At 35.6% G+C, this 20998-nt stretch overlaps 2 protein-coding genes and 1 pseudogene across 12 annotated transcripts in view; 2 read left to right on the top strand and 1 right to left on the bottom strand.

Annotated features, from left to right (window-relative positions):
- CGGBP1 (CGG triplet repeat binding protein 1) overlaps positions 1 to 20998 on the top strand; it is a 97921-nt gene that overhangs the window by 33746 nt on the left and 43177 nt on the right. The gene's annotated exons all lie outside the window — the stretch shown is intronic.
- The window catches only part of ZNF654 (zinc finger protein 654), an 85406-nt gene that overhangs the window by 28536 nt on the left and 35872 nt on the right, over positions 1 to 20998 (bottom strand). For all 11 annotated transcript variants that reach the window (NM_001366097.1, XM_017006789.3, NM_001350134.2 and 8 more), the window contains one exon: positions 2929 to 3010. Coding sequence is in view for 4 of the 11 variants with exons in the window: in XM_017006789.3 (XP_016862278.1) it covers positions 2929 to 3010 (82 nt within the window). In the remaining 7 variants the exon portion in view is untranslated. Of the gene's footprint in view, positions 1 to 2928; positions 3011 to 20998 lie in introns of those variants that run through there.
- On the top strand, positions 20036 to 20894 carry CBX5P1 (chromobox 5 pseudogene 1; annotated as a pseudogene).

The raw sequence follows: 20998 nt of genomic DNA, 5'->3' as shown, positions 1-20998 counted from the left end.
ACCCCAAATCCCTACCACCTGCTATTTCCTCCAGCCCTTGTTGTTACAAGCAGGGGATAGAGGGGGACATGACTGGATACCAGTGGAAGTTCTCTCTTTCTCTCTATATTATCTTTTCCTCTCTCACACATTTCCCTGTTTCATCGCATTCAGTCAATCAAGTATTGTTTGGCCCATCTGTCAATCTGGCTTCATCCCTGAGCAACTGACATAAAGTTCCCATCCTAATTTCCAGCATTTATCATTATTATTTTCCCTCATTTTACATTATTTTTGTCACTTCATTGGGAATCTCGAAAACTGCTAGATATAATGATGATGATGAGGCAGATGCATCATATGAGAAATGCAAACAAAAACTACTGGAAGTAAAAGGCTAAGAAGAAAACTTTCGGAAGCCAGTAAATGGAACATTTGGCTCTAAGAATGAAGTTTCTTCTAGAAATAACGGAGAGGAAAAATTATAGGTAAGAAGAGTTAAAAATTTCTACTTGAACAACTCAGATTTTAGGAGATCAGAAATTCATGGAAGAAAATAATAAATCTAATAGCTTGGTTTTGGTATTATTGTAAAAATAAAAATCCAAGTAGTAAGACTTGAGAACCCATACCCTTCACCAGACAGGCTCTACTGCCTACCTTAAAAACAGTGACATGATCATTTTGCCAGGAATTATGCCAAGCACTTTACTCATTTAACCCATAAAGTGACTATGCAGCAAGTATAGTTATTGCCTCCATTTTACAAATAAAGAAACTGGTACAGAAATTATGAAACTTGCCCAGGATGACACAGTGTAAGCAGCAAAGCTGGTAAACTCACAGTTGAAATACAGCGGGGGGAAAGAGAAGTTAACTCAAATCCAACAAAGAATACCTTGGTATTCAAAGTGTGGTTCAGGGACTAGCAGCATTAATATCACCTTGGAGCTTATCAGAAATGCAGACTATCAGGTCCCCTCCCACAACTACTGATTCATAATCTAAATTTTAACAAGATCCCCAGGTGATCTTTATGTACATTAAAATATGAGTAGGACTGTGTTTGTCCTACTTATGGGAGACGAGAAAGAACACCATCTTATGCTGGTATGAATCTGTATGAAAGATGTATGGAGAAGAACCACTGCGGAGCTAGGGTTTGCACTTAACTTGCACAGTATAATTTATGAAAAATATTTCAAAAAGTTACATTTGGGGTTGTCACTGAATTAGTCACTTATCACTATTGGTCACTATTATCAGTGTCAGTCAAAAGCCTGGAGAATTCATAAGCTTGGAAAATACAAGGTTTTAGGGAGGTATACATGATGGACTACATGTTGGCCCTTCCTGAGTTCCTAAGGGCACAGGCCTGGGAAGCACCCACAGCATAAGCTCAGGTCAGCAAATGAAGGATGTTTCTCTAGGTAAAGATAACATGACAGCAAAAGGTGAAACCTATCCTAGAAGATAGGAGTTAGAGGCTCAAGGAAATTCAGAGTAGGAAGAAGCCACAGTAACAAAAGTGGCAGAAATGGCAGAGATTTTTAAAAGGCTGGGGGAGGCAGGTAGTATATGGAAATTAGAATCAGCCAGGATTAGAGAGTGTCAAAGGATCAGAGCAGGAGATAGAAAAGTATGCAAAACCGCTAACTTTTCCTTGAGAAATTTATTATTTTGATAACTGAATGGGCACCCTGCTTACAAGGGAAAAAATAAAGGATATATCCCTTCACAAATGTTATGTTTTTCATACATTTAAAGTGGAAGTTAAATATTGTCCCTCATCTACTCCAAACATTTCAGTGGTTCCCATTATCAGTGGTCAGCCAACATCTCTATGAGGTATTTCTTTACCTCCCCATTTAATACTGAAATATCCTTCCCCAATATCACCATGCCAGCACTATCCCCATCCTCCTTTATTTTTCTCTAAGGAATCTGTCAATTTTTCATTTATAAAGGTTTGATTGTCTTTCTGTCCCTATGCCAGAATCATTAATAACTCCACAATAGGAAGATTTTTTCTGTTTTGCTTACTACTGTTTTTCTTAGACCTTAGTGCATTAGCACACTGTGGGGACTCAATAAACATTTGCCAAGTAAAAGTTTAAGAATGGATTACGGAGAATGGAAAATTAGTAAGTTTTAAATACTTGAATATATACTCTAATTGGAACATAAGTTCCATGAAAACAGGTATTTTTACCTCTTTTGCTGAAGGTAAGAATGGTTAAAGTAGAATGTTCAATATAACGTACCTAATACAGCAGTACTGGTTGTCTATAAGCCTTTAACACCATGGTTAACAAATATAAGATATGTTGTCTGTATATTTCAGTTCTAAATGGGTGATCAGGGACACTTCACCCCTAGGGGGAGCTCAAAGTACATCTTCCTTTACTTCACCGAGTGGGTCAGGGTTGCTTCCCAGTAAGTAGTAAAAAGATCAAATGTCTTTCATCTACAGGAGAGGTCTTGACTCTTTTGTCATTCCCATCTGAATTTACTCTCTTCTCTCCTATACCAGGTGCCCAAAAATAAAAAAAAATCTTCTGTCTCCTAGCTTCGGAAAGCTATTATGAGAGAGAAAATCAAGGTACAGCCAAGGGAAAAAGTGGCATGGGATAGACAGCTTACTTCAAGTCTGGCAAAGAAGAATCGTTTTTCACCAGGACTAAGTTCTAGGAATCCACAAGGGTGGTAGCAGGCTCTTTTCTAACAAATGTAGAATAGGAATTCCAGCTATGAACTGCTTGGAAATACAGTTAAAAATTAATTGTATGAATTTTCTTTATCAGCCAGTAATAATAGGATCTTAAACACTGTCACCTTAGCAATCATTAAAAACTTATAAGCAATAATAACCAATAAGCTATATTTAGGGGGAGCATAATGGTCTATTTTAAGTGTAGACAAAGTGTGAAGTAGTAAACTGTTTTTTACCTGGAATGATCCAAGAATATCCTTTAAGGGCTCTTCATAAAACTCATCTCTTCCAAAGAACAGCAGCAACTCAAAGAAACTCCTAGAAAGAATAAGTGAATAACTTTCATTGCTTCTTTGAGTTTTGCTCCAATTAAAAGATTATCAAACAGTATCAGCTATCTAATATCAATATTTGACTTAAAATATTTTGGTTTAAAAAATTGTACTGAACACTAGAATTCATATTATGTTTTCTGTAAGATTTTAAAAGAAGTGCCTTCAAGGAAAATACAAAGAAATATACTTAAGTTTTAGAACTATAGAATGAAACAATTATACTACTCATGCCTACTAATGACCACAATGCAATACAATTTAATGGCATACAAGGTCACAACAATGATAGCTATATACACAAGGATCATCTAAAATGAACCCAAAGTCCAGCTTCACCCTAATATAATGGGACTCCAGAGAAAATCCAAAATCTCATTTTTTTCAGGGTGATACAAGAGTTGAATAAAATTAACACAAAAACATAAGTTAGAAAATCACCATAAAACTCTCGGCCAACATTTATATTATAGCATATACTAACAACCATATCTAATAAATGACACATGGTTCCTCACACTAAGCTTACCTTGATTATCCCACTCATAACAGGATGGCTCAAATTCTGTAGTTCCTCCTTTTTAAATAAATTATTTGGAAATACTGTTACTAAATACTTTATGTGCTCTTAATAATTTATGATTCATAAAGAAAGGAACATGAATGATTTCCTAATCATGAGCATGGAAAATTATAAAATTATTTATTATTTAGCAATCCTAAAGTAGTACAAGTGACAAATCCCTCTAAATCTTAGATCTTAATTCATCTAGCAGATCCTCAAGTGTAACTACCTAAAGTTGTTTTTTTAATAGTTTTTGCTTTTAATCAAAACAAATCACTAATAGACTAAAATTATAAAATGTAAACATGAGAATATATATGCTTTTAAAATTATATAAGACCTAAATATTACAAAATTACACATTTATAGCACAATCACCATACTCCATAACCTGACGTTTTTATAAATTTGACTACTACAAATTTTAAAATATCAACAGACCAAAAAACGTAAAACCAATCAAAAGCAAACTGATACACTGAAAAATATTCTTTGATGATTTCCTTAATTTAAATGCTTCTAGAAGTTAGGTTAAAAAAGTCAATAACCTAGTAGAAAACTGCAAGAGAATATTTCGCAGAAAGTAAATGCAAGTGGATTTGTTTTCCAATAGAAAAACATGCTCTTATTCATTATTAGGCCAAAATTATAAAGATTAAATGCCATTTCTCCTCTCATATTTATGAAAATAAAAGAGATGATGTATTCTATGATGGCTTTGGTGTATAGAAACAGGACCTGATAATCTTGTTGGAGGGAATGTAAATGTTCCTATACTCATCACAATTTAAAATGTACACATACCATTTGACCTAGCAGTTCTACTTATAGAAATTTCATCCTCGAAATATACATATATAAGCTCAAAGACAGAAACAACAATATACATTACAAATGGTTTATAGAAGCAAAAAACTGGAAATATTCAGAATGTCTACCATAGGGTACTAGGTAAATTAAATATATCCATACAATGAAATATAATACAAATATTAACGGAACATTAGTGAGAATATAGCTACATCTATATGAATTAAAAAATTCCAAGATATATTGTTAAGCAAAGACCCAGAGATATATATTCATTACATTATCTTTGTGTAAATGGGAATGGAGGTGAGGGGTCAGGGGGTGGGGGAACATATATACCAATACATAAAGTTTATACATTGTCAGACTATCTAGCAGGATATCCAACAAAGCAACTGACTCTGCAAAGGGTAAATAAGAACTAGGGGTCAGAAATGAAAGGGAGAATTATTTTTCGTTATTAATCGTTTTGTAATTTTTCATTTTTACTATTAATAAGTATAAAACAAGCCCAACAAAAAGCATCTCTGGAATCTTCTCTATTCCTAGTAACAAAGCACTAATTCACATCTATCTCATCTTTAAACATCTAATGGACCTCCACTCTTGACATTCCATACTTACTCAAAATCCATGTTCAACACAGCAGTTATTATCTTCCTAAAACACAGAAATGAACCCACTACTTACCAACTTTACAAACTGCTGTTTGGACTGTACTATCTAAAGCACAGATGGTAGTGTGCATGCCCCACTACCAGTTACCTAAATAACATGGTCCAACTCCATGATAATGATATTAAAAAGAGAAAAACCACATGCAAAGTAACAGCAAATAAAGGCAAAACACATCAAACCTTTTCCTTAGAGGAAGTTTTAAGGAAGTCAGCAAGTATTTATGAAGAAAAGTCTGAAATTACTATAAGAATCTGAAATACACGTAGAATTAGAAACCTCTTGTTTCCAACCTGTTGTATTTCCTATTGACTGTATAAATAGTCAACTAAATGTTTACAGATCAACTTGTATAGCTCTCCTTACGGAAGAAAACTCTGTAGGGTGCAGAATGAATGAGTCCAAAATAGTATAAAGTAGAAGCCCAAAATATGAGTAACAGTCTACAGCAAGGCTGGTAAACTACTGCTCACAGGCCAAATCTGGCCCGAGCAAGGCCAGTTTTTGTATAGTACATGAGAAATGAATGGTTAGCCATATTTAAATTTTTTTAAGTCAAAAGAACAGTATTTCATGGTGGGTGAAAATTACATGAAATTCAATGATCAGTGCCAATATATAAGGTATTACTGGAACAGAGTCATATGCATTTATTTACATATTGACTACAGCTGCTTTCATACCACAGTGGTAGAGTTGACCAGTGACAACACAGACCTATTATAGGCAGACAGCCTATAATATTTAGTATCTGGTCCTTTACAGACCCATGGTCTAGCTGTTTGGGTTTGAATCTCAGCTCCACTACTTAATTGATGAGTAACCCTGAGCAAGTTACTTAATATCTCAATGCTTCAGTTTATTTATAAAACACAATAATAGTAACTACCTCTTGAAAAGCACTTGGCACAATTCCTGGCACTTAGTGCATAGGTATTTGCTGATTAATAACATAGTACAACCATTATTTATTAACATGTCACCATCCAGATTTTCTTCAACAATCTATAAGGAAACACAAGATCTTCAGAGGTTTGTTCTGCTCAGCTATGCATATGTCAATTTTGTTGAAATGTAACAGGCTAATTATTCTTAAATTATGAAGATTTTTTTAAAAATCTGATTAAACTCATCAAAAGATTTCTTTCCAAAAATGTATTATTGTATCATAATATTTAGCAGTTTTTCCTGTTGAACATGTTTAATATGTTTCTACAATAAATGTGTTTAATATATTATTTTTTACCATGTTTAATATGTTCAGTTTATACATTTATAAAAAAATTTTAGTCCAAATTGTAAGTTATGTACAGTTCACTTACCTAAATTGAAATAATTATCCGGGATATTCCCAAACAAAATGATTTACAGTTCCCCCTTGAATAACGCAGATTTAAACTGTGCAGGTCTACTTATAAACAAACTCTTAGACTTCTGCTAACCCTTACTCTTTTTTGGATTTCTGTAGCATATTAGTAATTTTTACACTAAAATACAAGAAAGATTTGTGCATTTATCTGCCATAGGAAAATTCCACTAAATATGATACTTAATTGTCCAAATAAAAGAAATCCACTTACCAATTTAAGTAAAGGAAAATTAGGTCTACTCTATGTGAGTCAAACAATAATATAATAAACTCTTACCCACATTTTATTTAAAACACTCAACTTTTAAGAACTCTTTCTATATATACTAACTGAAGGTTTGGTATCTTACAGAAATTTCTATTCAGTCCTACTTAGTAACAAAGAGCATTTGATTGTGGGTAACGTTGACATACTCAACTATTCTAATGCACTTAATCTTCAAAATATTTTCTTCAGTAACATCTTTACTGAGGGAGGAAAAAGTTAACGGTTTTCTTCATACACACACACACACACACACACACACACACACACACACTAGTGCCCACTTATCCACAGGGGATACATTACCAGACCCCTTCCCTCCCACTGGATGCTTGAAACCACGGATAGCACCTAACCCAATTTTCATCAATTTGAACATGTTTCTGTTCATGTCTCCCACTCACAAATGTAACGCCTTTTCCATCTTAACTAAGCACCTTAACATGCACCATGTGGCTTTAAATTTTGCGGTTTGAGGTGTGACAGTAAAACTAGCATGAATTTCTTTGTCCCTCACAATTTCAGAGATAGGAAATTTGTTCTCACTGTGAGATTTTAGCAACCTCAGCATACAATTTTTTTTTTTTCTGAAGTTGAGAACTTTAACCTTTTCAACTGAAGCACTTTACAGCTTTTCTTTGGCATATATGAATTACTGGCATCACTACTCTTGGCTTTGGGGCCATTATTAAGTAAAATAAGGGTTACCTGAACACAAGCACTGTGATACTCATGATAGTTGATCTGATAACCTAGAGGGCTACGAAATGACTAATGGGCAGGTAGCGTATACAGTGTAGATACACTGAACAAAGGGATAATGCACATCCTAGTTGGGATGGTGTGAGATTTCATCATGCTACTCAGAATAGCTTGCAATTTTAAAATGTATTATTTCTGGAATATTCTATTTAACATTTTTGGACCATGGTTGACTATGGGTAACAAACCGCAGAAAGTGAATCCACAGATGAGGGGAGACTATTGTACAGACAAAACTAAAGAAAACTGTACACTGTATTTTCCATAGTATGAGTCACTAGGTACCTTTAATGATTCTCCCTCTGAAAACAATTAAAATGCTAGATAAAATAGCTTGCCTTGACTAAAAATTCAAATAGCTACACCAGTATATTCTTCCCCACATTTCTAGACTGGAAGGAAAACTGCCAGTGTGAACTTGGAGCTAAGTAGAAATAGGAAAAAAAAAAAACTACTTTGAAAATCTTCTCATGTAGGTCGTGACCTGAATTCATATACCTACATGGTCAAAAAATTCTCAAGCCAAGAATTTAACTAATATTGGTCCCAAGCTAGTAATATCTCCAGGCACCTGACAAAAACAAATGCAAATTCTTTCAATCCAGGCTTCAATTACCACAAATAAATTTATTCTAGAAAATACAAACACAATATAAACAAAAAAAAATGATAAGAACAATAAAAACCACAACATACAAGGAAACACAGCACTATGAACAAGGCCAAAAGAACGTTAGTCACAGAGACTTTATTAAAATCATACAGAATATAAAATATGGGTATTATATAGTTTAAGAAATGATGACATTGAAAATATAAAGAACAAGATAAAATTATCAGTAGTCAAAATGCTTCCAGAAATAATAAAATCACTGAAATTAAAAGTCAACAGGCAGATCTTATGGATGATTAGATACACCTGAAGAAAAAATTGGTACACTGAAAAAATCTGAAAAATTATCCAGAGTACCTACAGAAAGACAAAGAAATGGAAAACACAAGAAGCAAGAGTTAAGGAACACAGAGGTGGAGTATACATGTTTAATCATAGTTCTAAAAGGGAAATAAGAAATGTGGCAAAGACATTAACTGGACGAGAATTTTTCGCAACTGACGAAAAATCCAAATCCATAAATTCAGGAGAGCCCAGAAAATGCCAATAGAGATAAATAAAACAATTATACATCTAGCTAATCATAATAAACTATAAAATACCAATAAAGAGCAGTGGATAAACAGAGAAAGATATAGATTGTTTACAAAAACATGGGAAATTAAATTGGAAAGAAAGGTCTAAGATGCAAATCAGTAAATATATAGGCTAACGAATTTTGACAATTTGAAGTACTAATAAAAATAATCTCATCTAGGCTTTAAAAATACAGCAAAAACACATGACATCAATAACATGAGCATTCATTCAGCGTTAGTGTTCCAATGCCATTTTACTGGAGGAAGATAAAGTATATAAAGTGTATACCTCAATAAGTTAAGAGCTAAATTCCCCTTAACTAATTTACACATTTACATACAGTAAAAGTATCTTCAAGTTTTTCTGGGGGTAGACAATTTCATTACAAAATTGTGTATCTGGCAAACATGAAACAAGAGAAATGAAAAGGGACCAGCCAATTTTGTAAAGCCTCTATAATTAAATCAACATTGTGTTGGCACACGAACAGACAAATAGGCTAATGAAACAATAGAAAATCCAAAAAGAGACCACAATAGTATGTGAAAATTTAGTATACGATAAAAACAGCATCTCAAATCAGGGAAAAATTCACTTCTTCATACTGGACAGCCAAATGTTAAAAATTATACAGGACAAATATCAGAAAAAAAAATCCTCATATAACTTGGTTACTGAGAAATGTTTAACTATGATAAGAAACTCAGAAGCAATAGGGGAACATTAACATATTTTAATTACATTTTAAAAATCTACACAGCTTAAAAAAGCATTAAACAAATTAACACCACATGCAAAGCAAAAGATAAATGAAAAAAAGGGCCGAGGCCAGTGGCTCACACCTGTAATCCCAGCACTCTGGGAGGCCGAGGTGGGTGGATCAATTGAGGTCAGGAGTTTGAGACCAGCCTGGCCAACATGGCGAACGAAACCTTGTCTCTACAAAAAATACAAACAATTAGCTGGGGGTGGCTGCACACATGTGTAATCTCAGCTACTCCTGAGGCTGAGGCAGGAGAACTGCTTGAACCCAGGAGGGAGAGGCTGCAGTGAGCCGAGATCACACCACTGCAATCCAGCCTGGGTGACAGAGTGAGACTCTGTCTTCCAAAAAAACAAAAAGATAAATGAAAAAAATATACATTTTCAACTTACAGCACAGGAAGGGCTTAACATCCCTATAACAATAATGAAAAGAAAAAGTCCAACTAATTTATAGAAAGTAGGATTGACATATCATCAGACAGCTCAGGAAAAATCAAACACAGATGGGCTTCAAGAACATCTTAGTCCATTGTACAGCTGTAACAGAGTACCTGAGACTGAGTAATTTATAATGAAGAGAAACTTATTTGGCTCCCAGTTCTGGCAGCTCATCAGAGCGCCAACAGGTTTGGTGTCTGGTGAGGCCCTTCTCTTCTGAGAAGATGGCACGGTGAATGCCACATCCTCTGGAGAGGAAGAAGGCTAGATCATTACATGGCAGAAGGTAAAAGGGCCAAGCAGCAAAAAGAGGCCAAATTCACCCTTTTATAACAGCATTAATCCCACCTGTGAGGGCAGGCCCTCATGGCCTAATCACCTCTCAAAGGTCCCACCTCTTAATACTGTTACAATTCCAATTAAATTGCAATATGAGTTTTGGGGGGATAAAGCATACCAAAGGATATGAAAAAAAGATATTCAAACTTCAGTCACAAGAAGAAAAATACAAATTAAAAATATACCAAGATGCCATTTCTCATTTATTAGTTTAGTCAAAAAAAATCAGAAGATTGACAGAATAAATTGTGATGAGGTCAGAGATATACAAGGCCAGATTTTGTGGGTAGGTTATACAAAATGGTACAAGCTCTATGGAAGGAACACTGGGCATATTTAGCAACATTACAATGTGTTCATCCTTTGACCCAGATTCTAGGAACCTACCCCCAAAATCTGGCAAAAATTCAAAAAGAGGTATCCAAAAGGATATTAATCATAGCACTATTTATAACAGGAAAAGAATGGAAACAACCCAAATGCATACCAGTAGAGGACAAATTGACTGACTATGCTACATCAACACAACAAAATTCATAGAATTCACAGAATACCATAAATTGTAAAAAATGAATTTGGAATAGTCTGTATCACTGTGGAATGATCTCCAAGATATAATACTAAGTAAAAAAAAGCAGGGTGGAAAAATGTATGTATCTGTTTATCTAAAAAAGGGCATGGATATGTTATTTGTTAGTTGGACCTTGCTTTTCTATCAACCGAATTCCTGTCTTTAATAGGCATAGACCATTTGAATTTTATGTAATTTATGTTTGTTTTCTGAGATGGAGTCTTGCTCTCTTGCTCAGGCTGGAGTGCAGTGGTGCAACTCAGCTCACTGCTACCTCCACCTCCTGGGTTCAAGTGATTCTTCTGCCTCAGTCTCCCGAGTAGCTGGGATTACAGGCGCGCGCCACCACACCTGACTAATTTTTGGTATTTTTAGTAGAGACAGGGTTTCACTATGTTGGCCAGGCTGGTCTCAAACTTCCGGCCTGAAGTAATCTGCCCACCTTGGCCTTCCAAAGTGCTGGGATTACAGGCGTAAGCCACTGTGCCTGGATGAATTTTATGTAATTTTTAATATGCTTAGATTAAACCCTATCATCTTAATAGTTTTGTTTGTTCTGTCTATTCATTGTTCTGTTTGACCTCTTCTTCCTCCTTCTTTGGGACTGAGCAATTTTAAGATTCCATTTAGTGTCCACTTTGGCTTAACACATTCACCTGTTTTTAGCGGTTACTCTAGAGTTTACAAATATACATATCTTTAAAAATCCCGCCTAATCTCAAATAATATTATGGTGCTTTAGGTATAATAACCTATGTACTATTTTTGTCATTCATTTGGTTTTAAACATGCTACAAACCAATAATATTTCACTACAATTTTTGCTTTATTCCTGGCATCTGGAATATATGGCCCATAGGCTGCCTGCCAGTTTGTATAAAAATTGTGTTGAAACACAACGCTATCCATTAATTTATGTAGTGTTTATGGCTGCTTTCTTGCTACAAGAGCAAAGCTGAGTAGTTACAGAGACACTACGGTCCATGAGTCTAAAATATCTAGCCCTTTTAAAAACTGTTTTGTCAACCCCTGCTTTAGATGATCAGTTATGTTTTACAGTGTTTAAAAATAAGAAAAATTTAATTTGATATTTATCTTCAGTTTTTATTTACCATTTTCCACTCTATTTCCTTAGATACATCCAAATTTCTGTCCAGCATCTGGTGCTGCTTATGGAACTCCCTTTAACATTTTTCTGTAGTTCAGGCCTGCCAGAAATGAATTACCTCAGTTTTTGATTACATACATCTCTCTCTTTTACTTTAGAAATATATTTTCTCGAACTGAAAGTTTGACCAGGTGTGGTGGCTCATGGCCTGTAATCCCAGCAGAGGCCGAGGCAGGTGGATCGCCTGAGGTAAGGAGTTCGAGACCAGCCGGGCCAACATGACAAAACCCCGTCTAAAAATAAAAAAATCAGCCAGGCATAGGGGCGGGCACCTGTAATCCCAGCTACTTGGGAGACTGAGGCAGAAGAATCGCTTGACCCCGAGAGGCAGAGGTTGCAGTGAGCCAAGATGGCGCCAATGCACTCTACCCTGGGAGACAGAGCAAGACTCCATCTCAAAAAAAAAAAAAAAAAAAAAAGTTAATACATCTCTTTCTTTCATCACTTTAAAGTTGTCACTTCATTGTGTTTTAACTTGCAATTTCTGAAGAGATGTCCGCTACACATTATCTTCATTCTTCTTTGGATCATGTCTTTTTTTCTCTTGTTACTTTCACCTACTTGTGTTCTAGTTTCTGTAGCTGGATCCTTTACATTATTTTAAGAAAATTCATGGCCATTATTTTGTCAATATTTATTCTGCCTCATTTTATCTTCTTCTGAAATTCTAGTAGACATGTTATACAGTTTTAGATTTTCCTAAATTCTTAGACACTCTGTTCTGTTTCTCCTTGCCTTTTAGTTTGGGTATTTCTATGAATCTACATTCAAGGTTCATTCATTCTTTCTTTAGCTGCATTAAGTCTACTAAAGAATCTGAAGGTCTTAGCCATTCTTCATCTGTTAATGTGTCTATTTCCAGAATTTCCATTTGAATCTTTCTTAACGTTTCTGTGCCGAAATTTCCAATCTGCTCAAACGTATTATCTGTCTTTTCCACTATAGCCTTTATATCGGGATCTAGTTCTACTGATTGCTTTATCTCTTAATAGGGGGTCTCTTTTTTAAAAAAAAATGTGTCTGTAATTTCTGGTTTTTGAAAGCTGGGCTTCATTATATAAGGCCATTATCCTAAGTGAATTAACGCATGAACAGAAAACCAAATAACACATGTGCTCACTTATAAGGGGGAGCTAAACATTTCATACTCATGGACATAAAGATGGCACAACAGACACTGGAGACTACTAGTGGGGCAGAGGGTAGGATTTAAAAACTATCTAGTGGTTAGTATGCTTACCACCTGGGTTATGGGACCATTCATATCCCAAACCTCAGCAATATATCCATGCAACAAACTGGCATACATACTCTCAGAATCTAAACTACAAGTTGAAATTATTAAAAAAAAAAAAAAAAAAAAAGACAGTAGAGGTTGAGGTAAACAGCATTTATGCCTAGAAAGAGGCATGTCTTTTCTTCTGCTAGGGCTTTATTGTGGAGCATATGAGTAAAACCGGTTAGAAGTTAAACTGAATATGGGTTTTGTTGTTGGTATCATGACCTTCTGTGCACCACTGGCTTCAAATTCTTGCACTATTCTATTGGATTTACAGGAGAGGCTGAATTGCCAGATACTATTTTAGGATTTGGCCCATGGGCCATAGTTTGTGAATCCCAGTGATAGAGAAAAGATTAACCATGTTAAGTAAAGAAATGGAAGACACAAAAAGACCTTCATCACGCTTTTGCACATAAAAAATAAAATGTCTGAAATGAAAAATACACTGTATGGGATTAACAGCAAATTTGACATTATAGAAGATAACAGTATAATGGGAAAATAAAGGTACAGCAATAGAAAACTATTTAAAATAAAAGAGAAAGACAAAAAACGACTAGAGCTATTAATGAGCTGCAAGACAGCTGTTGTTCCCCTTCAGGTAGCATCCCTGAAGAAAACACAATAGTGGTTTCTAAAAAGTTTTTTGAGGACATTTCCAAAAGCTGACAAAAATTGTAAGCCCACAGATCCAAGAAGCTTAAAATCAAGAAACACGAAGAAAACTACACAAAACACATTACAACCAAATTTCTTTAAACCAGCAATAAACTTCAAAAGACACCAATGAGAAAATGAAAAGACAAGATATAGCATGGGATAAATCACAAATCACATATCTGATAAAGAGTGTATATCCAGAATACATAAAGAATTCTTAGAACTCAGTAAGATGACAAATAATACAATTTAAAAATGGGCAAAAAAATTTGATAGATTTTGCCAAAGAAAATATAAAATAGCAAAGCATACAAAAAGATGCTTACCAACGACAGGACTGAGGAAATGCAAATTAAAAACAAAATGACATACTACTGTATAACCATTAAAATGGCTATTATGAAAAAGATAAAAAGTATTAGTGAAGATGTAAAGAAACTGCTACCCCCATAAGAAATTGGTTAGAATTTTAATCGTACAGTCACTTTGGTTAGCAGTTTTACAAAACGCTAAACATAAACTAATCATACATCTAACAATTCTATGCCTAGGTATCTACCTAGGAGAAATGAAAAGATGTGGCCACATAAGACACATACAGAAATGTTTATAGCCCAAAACTGGAAGTAATCTGAATAGCCATCAATTGCTGAATGCATAAATAAAATATAATATATCCATATACTGAAATCTATGAAGCACAAAAAGAAATGAGCTACTGATAAATGCTAACATAGGTAAACCTCAAGAACATTATTCTAAGTGAAAAATAGTCATTTAAAAGAATATTTTACATGACTATTTCGCAAGACTATTTTTAAATATTTTCACTTGCTCTAAGTGAAAGTATCCAAAATACTACATATTCTATGATATCATTTATATGAAATGTCTAGAAATAGCAACTCTATAGAGATAGAAAGCAGAGCAGTAGTTGCCTTGAGCTGGGTAGGCACTGGGGACTGAATGCAAATGAGCATGAGGGAGCTTTCTGGGGTAATGAAAATGAAAAACTGGATTGTGGTAATGGTTGCACAACTCTATAAAACTTACCAAAAAATCACTGAATTATAAACTGACAATGGGTGAATTATATGGATTTTATACTTTTTAATAAAGCTTTACATAAAAAAAGATAACTAGCAATGGGTAAGGAGTGGGGAAATACAGCTGAAACAAGATTGACAATATACTGATAACTGTTGAAGCTAGGTGATAGTTGCTTCTACTACTTTTACTTTCAAGTATACTTGAAAATTGTCATAATAAAGTTTTCTTTTATTATACTTTAAGTTTTAGGGTACATGTGCACAACGTGCAGGTTTGTTACATATGTATACAGGTGCCATGTTGGTGTGCTGCACACATTAACTTGTCATTTACATTAGGTATATCTCCTGATGCTATCCCTCCCCGCTTTCCCCACCCCATGACAGGCCCCGCTGTGTGATGTTCCCCTTCCTGTGTCCAAGTGTTCTCATTGTTCAATTCCCACCTATGAGTGAGAACATGGCGGTGTTTGGTTTTCTTTCCTTGTGATAGTTTGCTGAGAATGATGGTTTCCAGCTTCATCCATGTCCCTACAAAGGACATGAACTCATCCTTTTTATGGCTGCATCGTATTCCATGGTGTATATGTGCCACATTTTCTTAATCCAGTCTATCATTGATGGACATTTGAGTTGGTTCAAAGTCTCTGCTATTGTGAATAGTGCTGCAATAAACATACATGTGCGCAGCATGATTTATAATCCTCTGGGTATATACCCAGTAATGGGATGGCTGGGTCAAATGGTATTTCTAGTTCTACATCCCTGAGGAATTGCCACACTGACTTCCACAATGGTTGAACTAGTTTACAGTCCCACCAACAGTGTAAAAGTGTTCCTATTTCTCCACATCCTCTCCAGCACCTGTTGTTTCCTGACTTTTTAATGATTGTCATTCTAACTGGTGTGAGATGGTATCTCATTGTGGTTTTGATTTGCATTTCTCTGATAGCCAGTGATGATGAGCATTTTTTCATGTCTGTTGGCTGCATAAATGTCTTCTTTTGAGAAGTGTCTGTTCATATCCGGCACCCACTTTCTGATGGGGTTGTTTGATTTTTTCTTGTAAATTTGTTTAAGTTCTTTGTAGATTCTGGATATTAGCCCTTTGTCAGATGGGTAGATTGTAAAAATTTTCTCCCATTCTGCAGGTTGCCTGTTCACTGTGATGGTAGTTTCTTTTGCTGTGCAGAAGCTCTTTAGTTAAATTAGATCCTATTTGTCAATTTTGGCTTTTGTTGCCATTGCCTTTGGTGTTTTAGTCATGAAGTCCTTGCCCATGCCTATGTCCTCAATGGTATTGCCTACGTTTTCTTCTAGGGTTTTTATGGTTTTAGGTCTAACATTTAAGTCTTTAATCCATCTTGAATTAATTTTTGTATAAGGTGTAAGGAAGGGACCCATTTTCAGCTTTCTACATATGGCTAGCCAGTTTTCCTGGCACCATTTATTAAATAGGGAATCCTTTCTCCATTTCTTGTTTTTGTCAGGATTGTCAAAATCAGATGGTTGTAGATGTGTGGTATTATTTCTGAGGGCTCTGTCCTGTTCCATTGGTCTGTATCTCTGTTTTGGTACCAGTACCATGCTGTTTTGGTTACTGTAGCCTTGTAGTATAGTTTGAAGTAGGTAGTGTGATGCCTCCAGCTTTGTTCTTTGGCTTAGGATTGTCTTGGCAATGCGGGCTCTTTTTTGGTTCCGTATGAGCTTTAAAGTAGTTTTTTCCAATTCTGTGAAGAAAGGCATTGGTAGCTTGATGGGAATGGCATTGAATCTATAAATTACCTTGGGCAGTATGGCCGTTTTCACAATATTGATTCTTCCTATCCATGAGCATGGAATATTCTTCCATTTGTTTGTGACCTCTTTTGTTGAGCAGTGATTTGCAGTTCTCCTTGAAGAGGTCCTTCACATCCCTTGTAAGTTGGATTCCTAGGTATTTTATTCTCTTTGTAGCAATTGTGAATGGGAGTTCACTCATGATTTGGCTCTCTGTCTGTTATTGGTGTAGAGGAATGCTTGTGATTTTTGCACATTGATTTTGTATCCTGAGACTTTGCTGAAGTTGCCTATCAGCTTAAGGAGATTTTGGGCTGAGACAATGGGGTTTTCTAAATATACAATCATGTCATCTGCAAACAGGGACAATTTGACTTCCTCTTTTCCTAACTGAATACCCTTTATTTCTTTCTCTCGCCTGATTGCCCCGGCCAGAACTTCCAACATTATGATGAATAGAAGTAGTGACAGAGGGCATCCCTGCTTGTGCCAGCTTTCAAAGGGAATACTTCCAGTTTTTGCCCATTCAGTATGATACTGGCTGTGGGTTTGTCATAGATAGCTCTTATTATTTTGAGATAGGTCCCATCAATACCTAATTTATTGAGAGTTTTTATTTAGCATGAAGTGTTGTTGAATTTTGTCAAAGGCCTTTTCTGCATCTATTGAGATAATCATGTGGTTTTTGTCTTTGGTTCTGTTTATATGCTGGATTACGTTTATTGATTTTCGTATGTTGAACCAGCCTTGCATCCCAGGGATGAAGCCCACTTGATCATGGTGGATAAGCTTTTTGCTGTGCTGCTGGATTCAGTTTGCCAGTATTTTACTGAGGATTTTTGCATCAATGTTCATCAAGGGTATTGGTCTAAAATTCTCATTTTTTGTTGTGTCTCTGCCAGGCTTTAGTATCAGGATGATGCTGGCCTCATAAAAAGAGTTAGGGAGGATTCCCTCTTTTTCTATTGATTGGAATAGTTTGAGAACGAATGATACCAGCTCCTCTTTGTACCTCTGGTAGAATTTGGCTGTGAATCCATCTGGTCCTGGACCCTTTTTGGTTGGTAAGCTATTAATTATTGCCTCAATTTCAGAGCCTGTTATTGGTGTATTCAGAGATTCAACTTCTTCCTGGTTTAGTCTTTGGAGGGTGTATGTGTGCAGGAATTTATCCATTTCTTCTAGATTTTCTAGTTTATTTGTGTAGAGGTGTTTATAGTATTCTCTGATGGCAGTTTGTATTTTTGTGGGATCGGTGGTGATATCCCCTTTATCATTTTTTATTGCATCTATTTGATTCTTCTCTCTTTTCTTCTTTATTAGTCTTGCTAGCAGTCTGTCAATTTTGTTGATCGTTTCAAAAACCCAGCTCCTGGATTGATTGTTTTTGAAGGGTTTTTTATGTCTCTATCTCCTTCAGTTCTGCTCTGATCTTAGTTATTTCTTGTCTTCTGCTAGCTTTTGAATTTGTTTGCTCTTGCTTCTCTAGTACTTTTAATTGTGATATTAGGGTGTCAATTTTAGATCTTTCCTGCTTTCTCTTGTGGGCATTTAGTGCTATAAATTTCCCTCTACACACTGCTTTAAATGTGTCGCAGATATTCTGTTATGTTGTGTCTTTGTTCTCATTGGTTTCAAAGAACATCTTTATTTCTGCATTCATTTTGTTATGTACCCAGTAGTCATTCAGGAGCCGGTTGTTCAGTTCCCATGTAGTTGAGCGGTTTTGAGTGAGTTTCTTAATCCTGAGTTCTAATTTGATTGCACTGTGGTCTGAGAGACAGTATCTTGTGATTTCTGTTCTTTTACATTTGCTGAGGAGTGTTTTACTTCCAATTATGTGGTCAATTTTGGAATAAGTGTGATGTGGTGTTGAGAAGAATGTATATTCTGTCGATTTGGGGTGGAGAGTTCAGTAGATGTCTGTTAGGTCTGCTTGGTGCAGAGCTGAGTTCAAGTCCCAGATATCCTTGTTAACCTTCTGTCTCATTGATCTGTCTAATATTGACAGTGGGTGTTAAAGTCTCCCATTATTTAAAAAAAAAAAAACTGTTGACAAAGGTGTGAGAAAACTGGTTCTCTCTTACCTTGCTGGCAAGAATGTAAATTGGTTCAACCTTTACAGAGGAAATTTGGCAGCATCTACCAAAATGAAAAATTACATTCCTTGTATAAATGTGTGATAAGTGATAAATTACACTCTTTGATCTAGCAATTAATCTACTCCTAGGATACATCTAAGATATACAAATACCCTTGTACATATTCCGGTCATACATGGTAATTCATTAAAGGGTTGTTGATAACAGCAAAAGATTGAAACAAGAACTATCCATTAGTAAGGGGCTGGTTAATTACATTTTGATATACACATAAGAGTGAAATACTCTACAGCCAATGTGATGACCAGTGTTCTTTCTATGCTGATGGGGAAAGGTATCTAAGTGAAAAACAGAGATACAAAACAGTGTGTATAGTATACTAGCATTTGTCTAAAATGATAATATGAGGTTTTTTTCTTATATATGCATTATATATCTGAAAGGAAAACTCATGAAAATAAGTACACTGGATGGCTACAGATACAGAAACTAGGAAACTAGGGGACAGGTAAATGTAAATGGCAAGGGTATCTCATTGTATACGCCACACTTTTCGAATTTTGAACCATGAACATGTATTACCTACTCAAAAATTAAAAGTGATAAAGATGAAATCTTAAAAGCAAGCCGCTAAAAGGGTACATTATATACATGGAACCAGATAAAAAGCAGATTTTTCATCAGAAGAAAATGTGGCCAGAAGACACTGGATGGACTTCTTTAAAGTATGGGAAGAAAAAAATTGCCAATCTAAAATTCAATAATCAGTGGAAATGTCTTCCAAAACAAAGGTCTTTGGGTTCTGGTTAGTTTTGGCTAAAGGGAGTCAATGGCAGAAGTCAGAAGTCAGGAGGAAGGAGAAATGAGGGTCTTTCTCCCCTTACCCCTCTGCTTCAAGATCCTCTATAGCAGTAGTTATATCTCTTCAGAGGTACCCTCTCACACAAATCGGTGCTGCTTCCTCTCATCAACCATCTCTTGTCTGTGGGCTCTAGTAATACTTTCTTCTTCCTTTGTCCCTCCATTTCTAGAGCTAACAGCAACTTGCCACAATTGCCAATGTTCAGGTTCACCATCTCCTGTCTATTCTCTCAGATCATCTAACACCTTTAAAAGTGATTCTATGAATAAGTTCCTTCTACTTAATTATCTAGGATGGTTGACATTTACCTAATTGAATCTTGACTGAAACAGATCTTAATCAAAAAGAAAATGAAGGTCAGTCTGCCAAGCCCTAGACCCAGGAGGGGAGGCCACTACTGATAGCCCAGAGGGAAAGAACAAACTGGGGGTATCTGGGATGCAGTGGCCTTAGTCCTTCAGGTAGAACAGTGCAACACGGGAAAGAAAACCAAGCACACAGCTAACATTTCATCAGAGAATGAAGAGGAGTAGACTGTGGAGAAGGTGCTAGACAGGCATGTGGTTAAGTGGCAAGTGGAGTATCTGCTGAAGTGGAAAGGCTTTTCTGAGGAGCACAATACTTGGGAATCTGAGAAAAACTTGGATTGCCTTTAGCTCATTTCTTAGTTTACAAAAAAGTTTAAGATGATGAAGGAGGGTTAAAATAACAAGCCTGGGGAGAAGTCAAAAAGTAGCAAAGAAATCCAATTTCTCAAACTGTGCTGACAGTATCAAGTCCAAAAAAGAGAACAGAGTGATGATATTGCTTGGGGCTTCGAGATAAGACTAGAACCAGAAAAGATCATTGGGGCAACAGATTCCTGTGGCAATTTATGTTTTTAATGAAATGGAAAGACAGATGAAGCAGACCTGGTTCTTGCAAAAGAAGCTAATGTGAACTGTCTACAAATTATGACAGCATTTTATGAAGAGAGACTGATGTTGCATGCGTACCTTGAGGATACAGAAACCAAAGAGGAAAAAACAGCAAAGGGCTAAAAGGGGGTGATCCCTGTCACTTCTCTTAGTACATAATACATTCACATTCCTGTCTCTTCCTTTCTCCCCACCCCTTTCTATCCTAAACATATCCTTGATAAAATATGCTTATCACTGTGCTCCACAGGAGAAAAGATGGTATTGGTTCTCTTTAACATAACTGATAGTCCTATTCATAGGGGGAAAAAATAAAAAAGGAAACAAAAGTGAATTCATTGAAAATTATTCCCTACAAAACAAGGAGCAAATTTTTTCTTATAAAGGGAAAACCTTTTCAAGAT

This window comes from Homo sapiens, chromosome 3 (genome assembly GCF_000001405.40).
Source record: "Homo sapiens chromosome 3, GRCh38.p14 Primary Assembly".
NCBI classification, from domain to species: domain Eukaryota; kingdom Metazoa; phylum Chordata; class Mammalia; order Primates; family Hominidae; genus Homo; species Homo sapiens.
The sequence above is the reverse complement of the archived record's forward strand: the minus strand, read 5'-3'. Positions and strand labels throughout refer to the sequence as shown.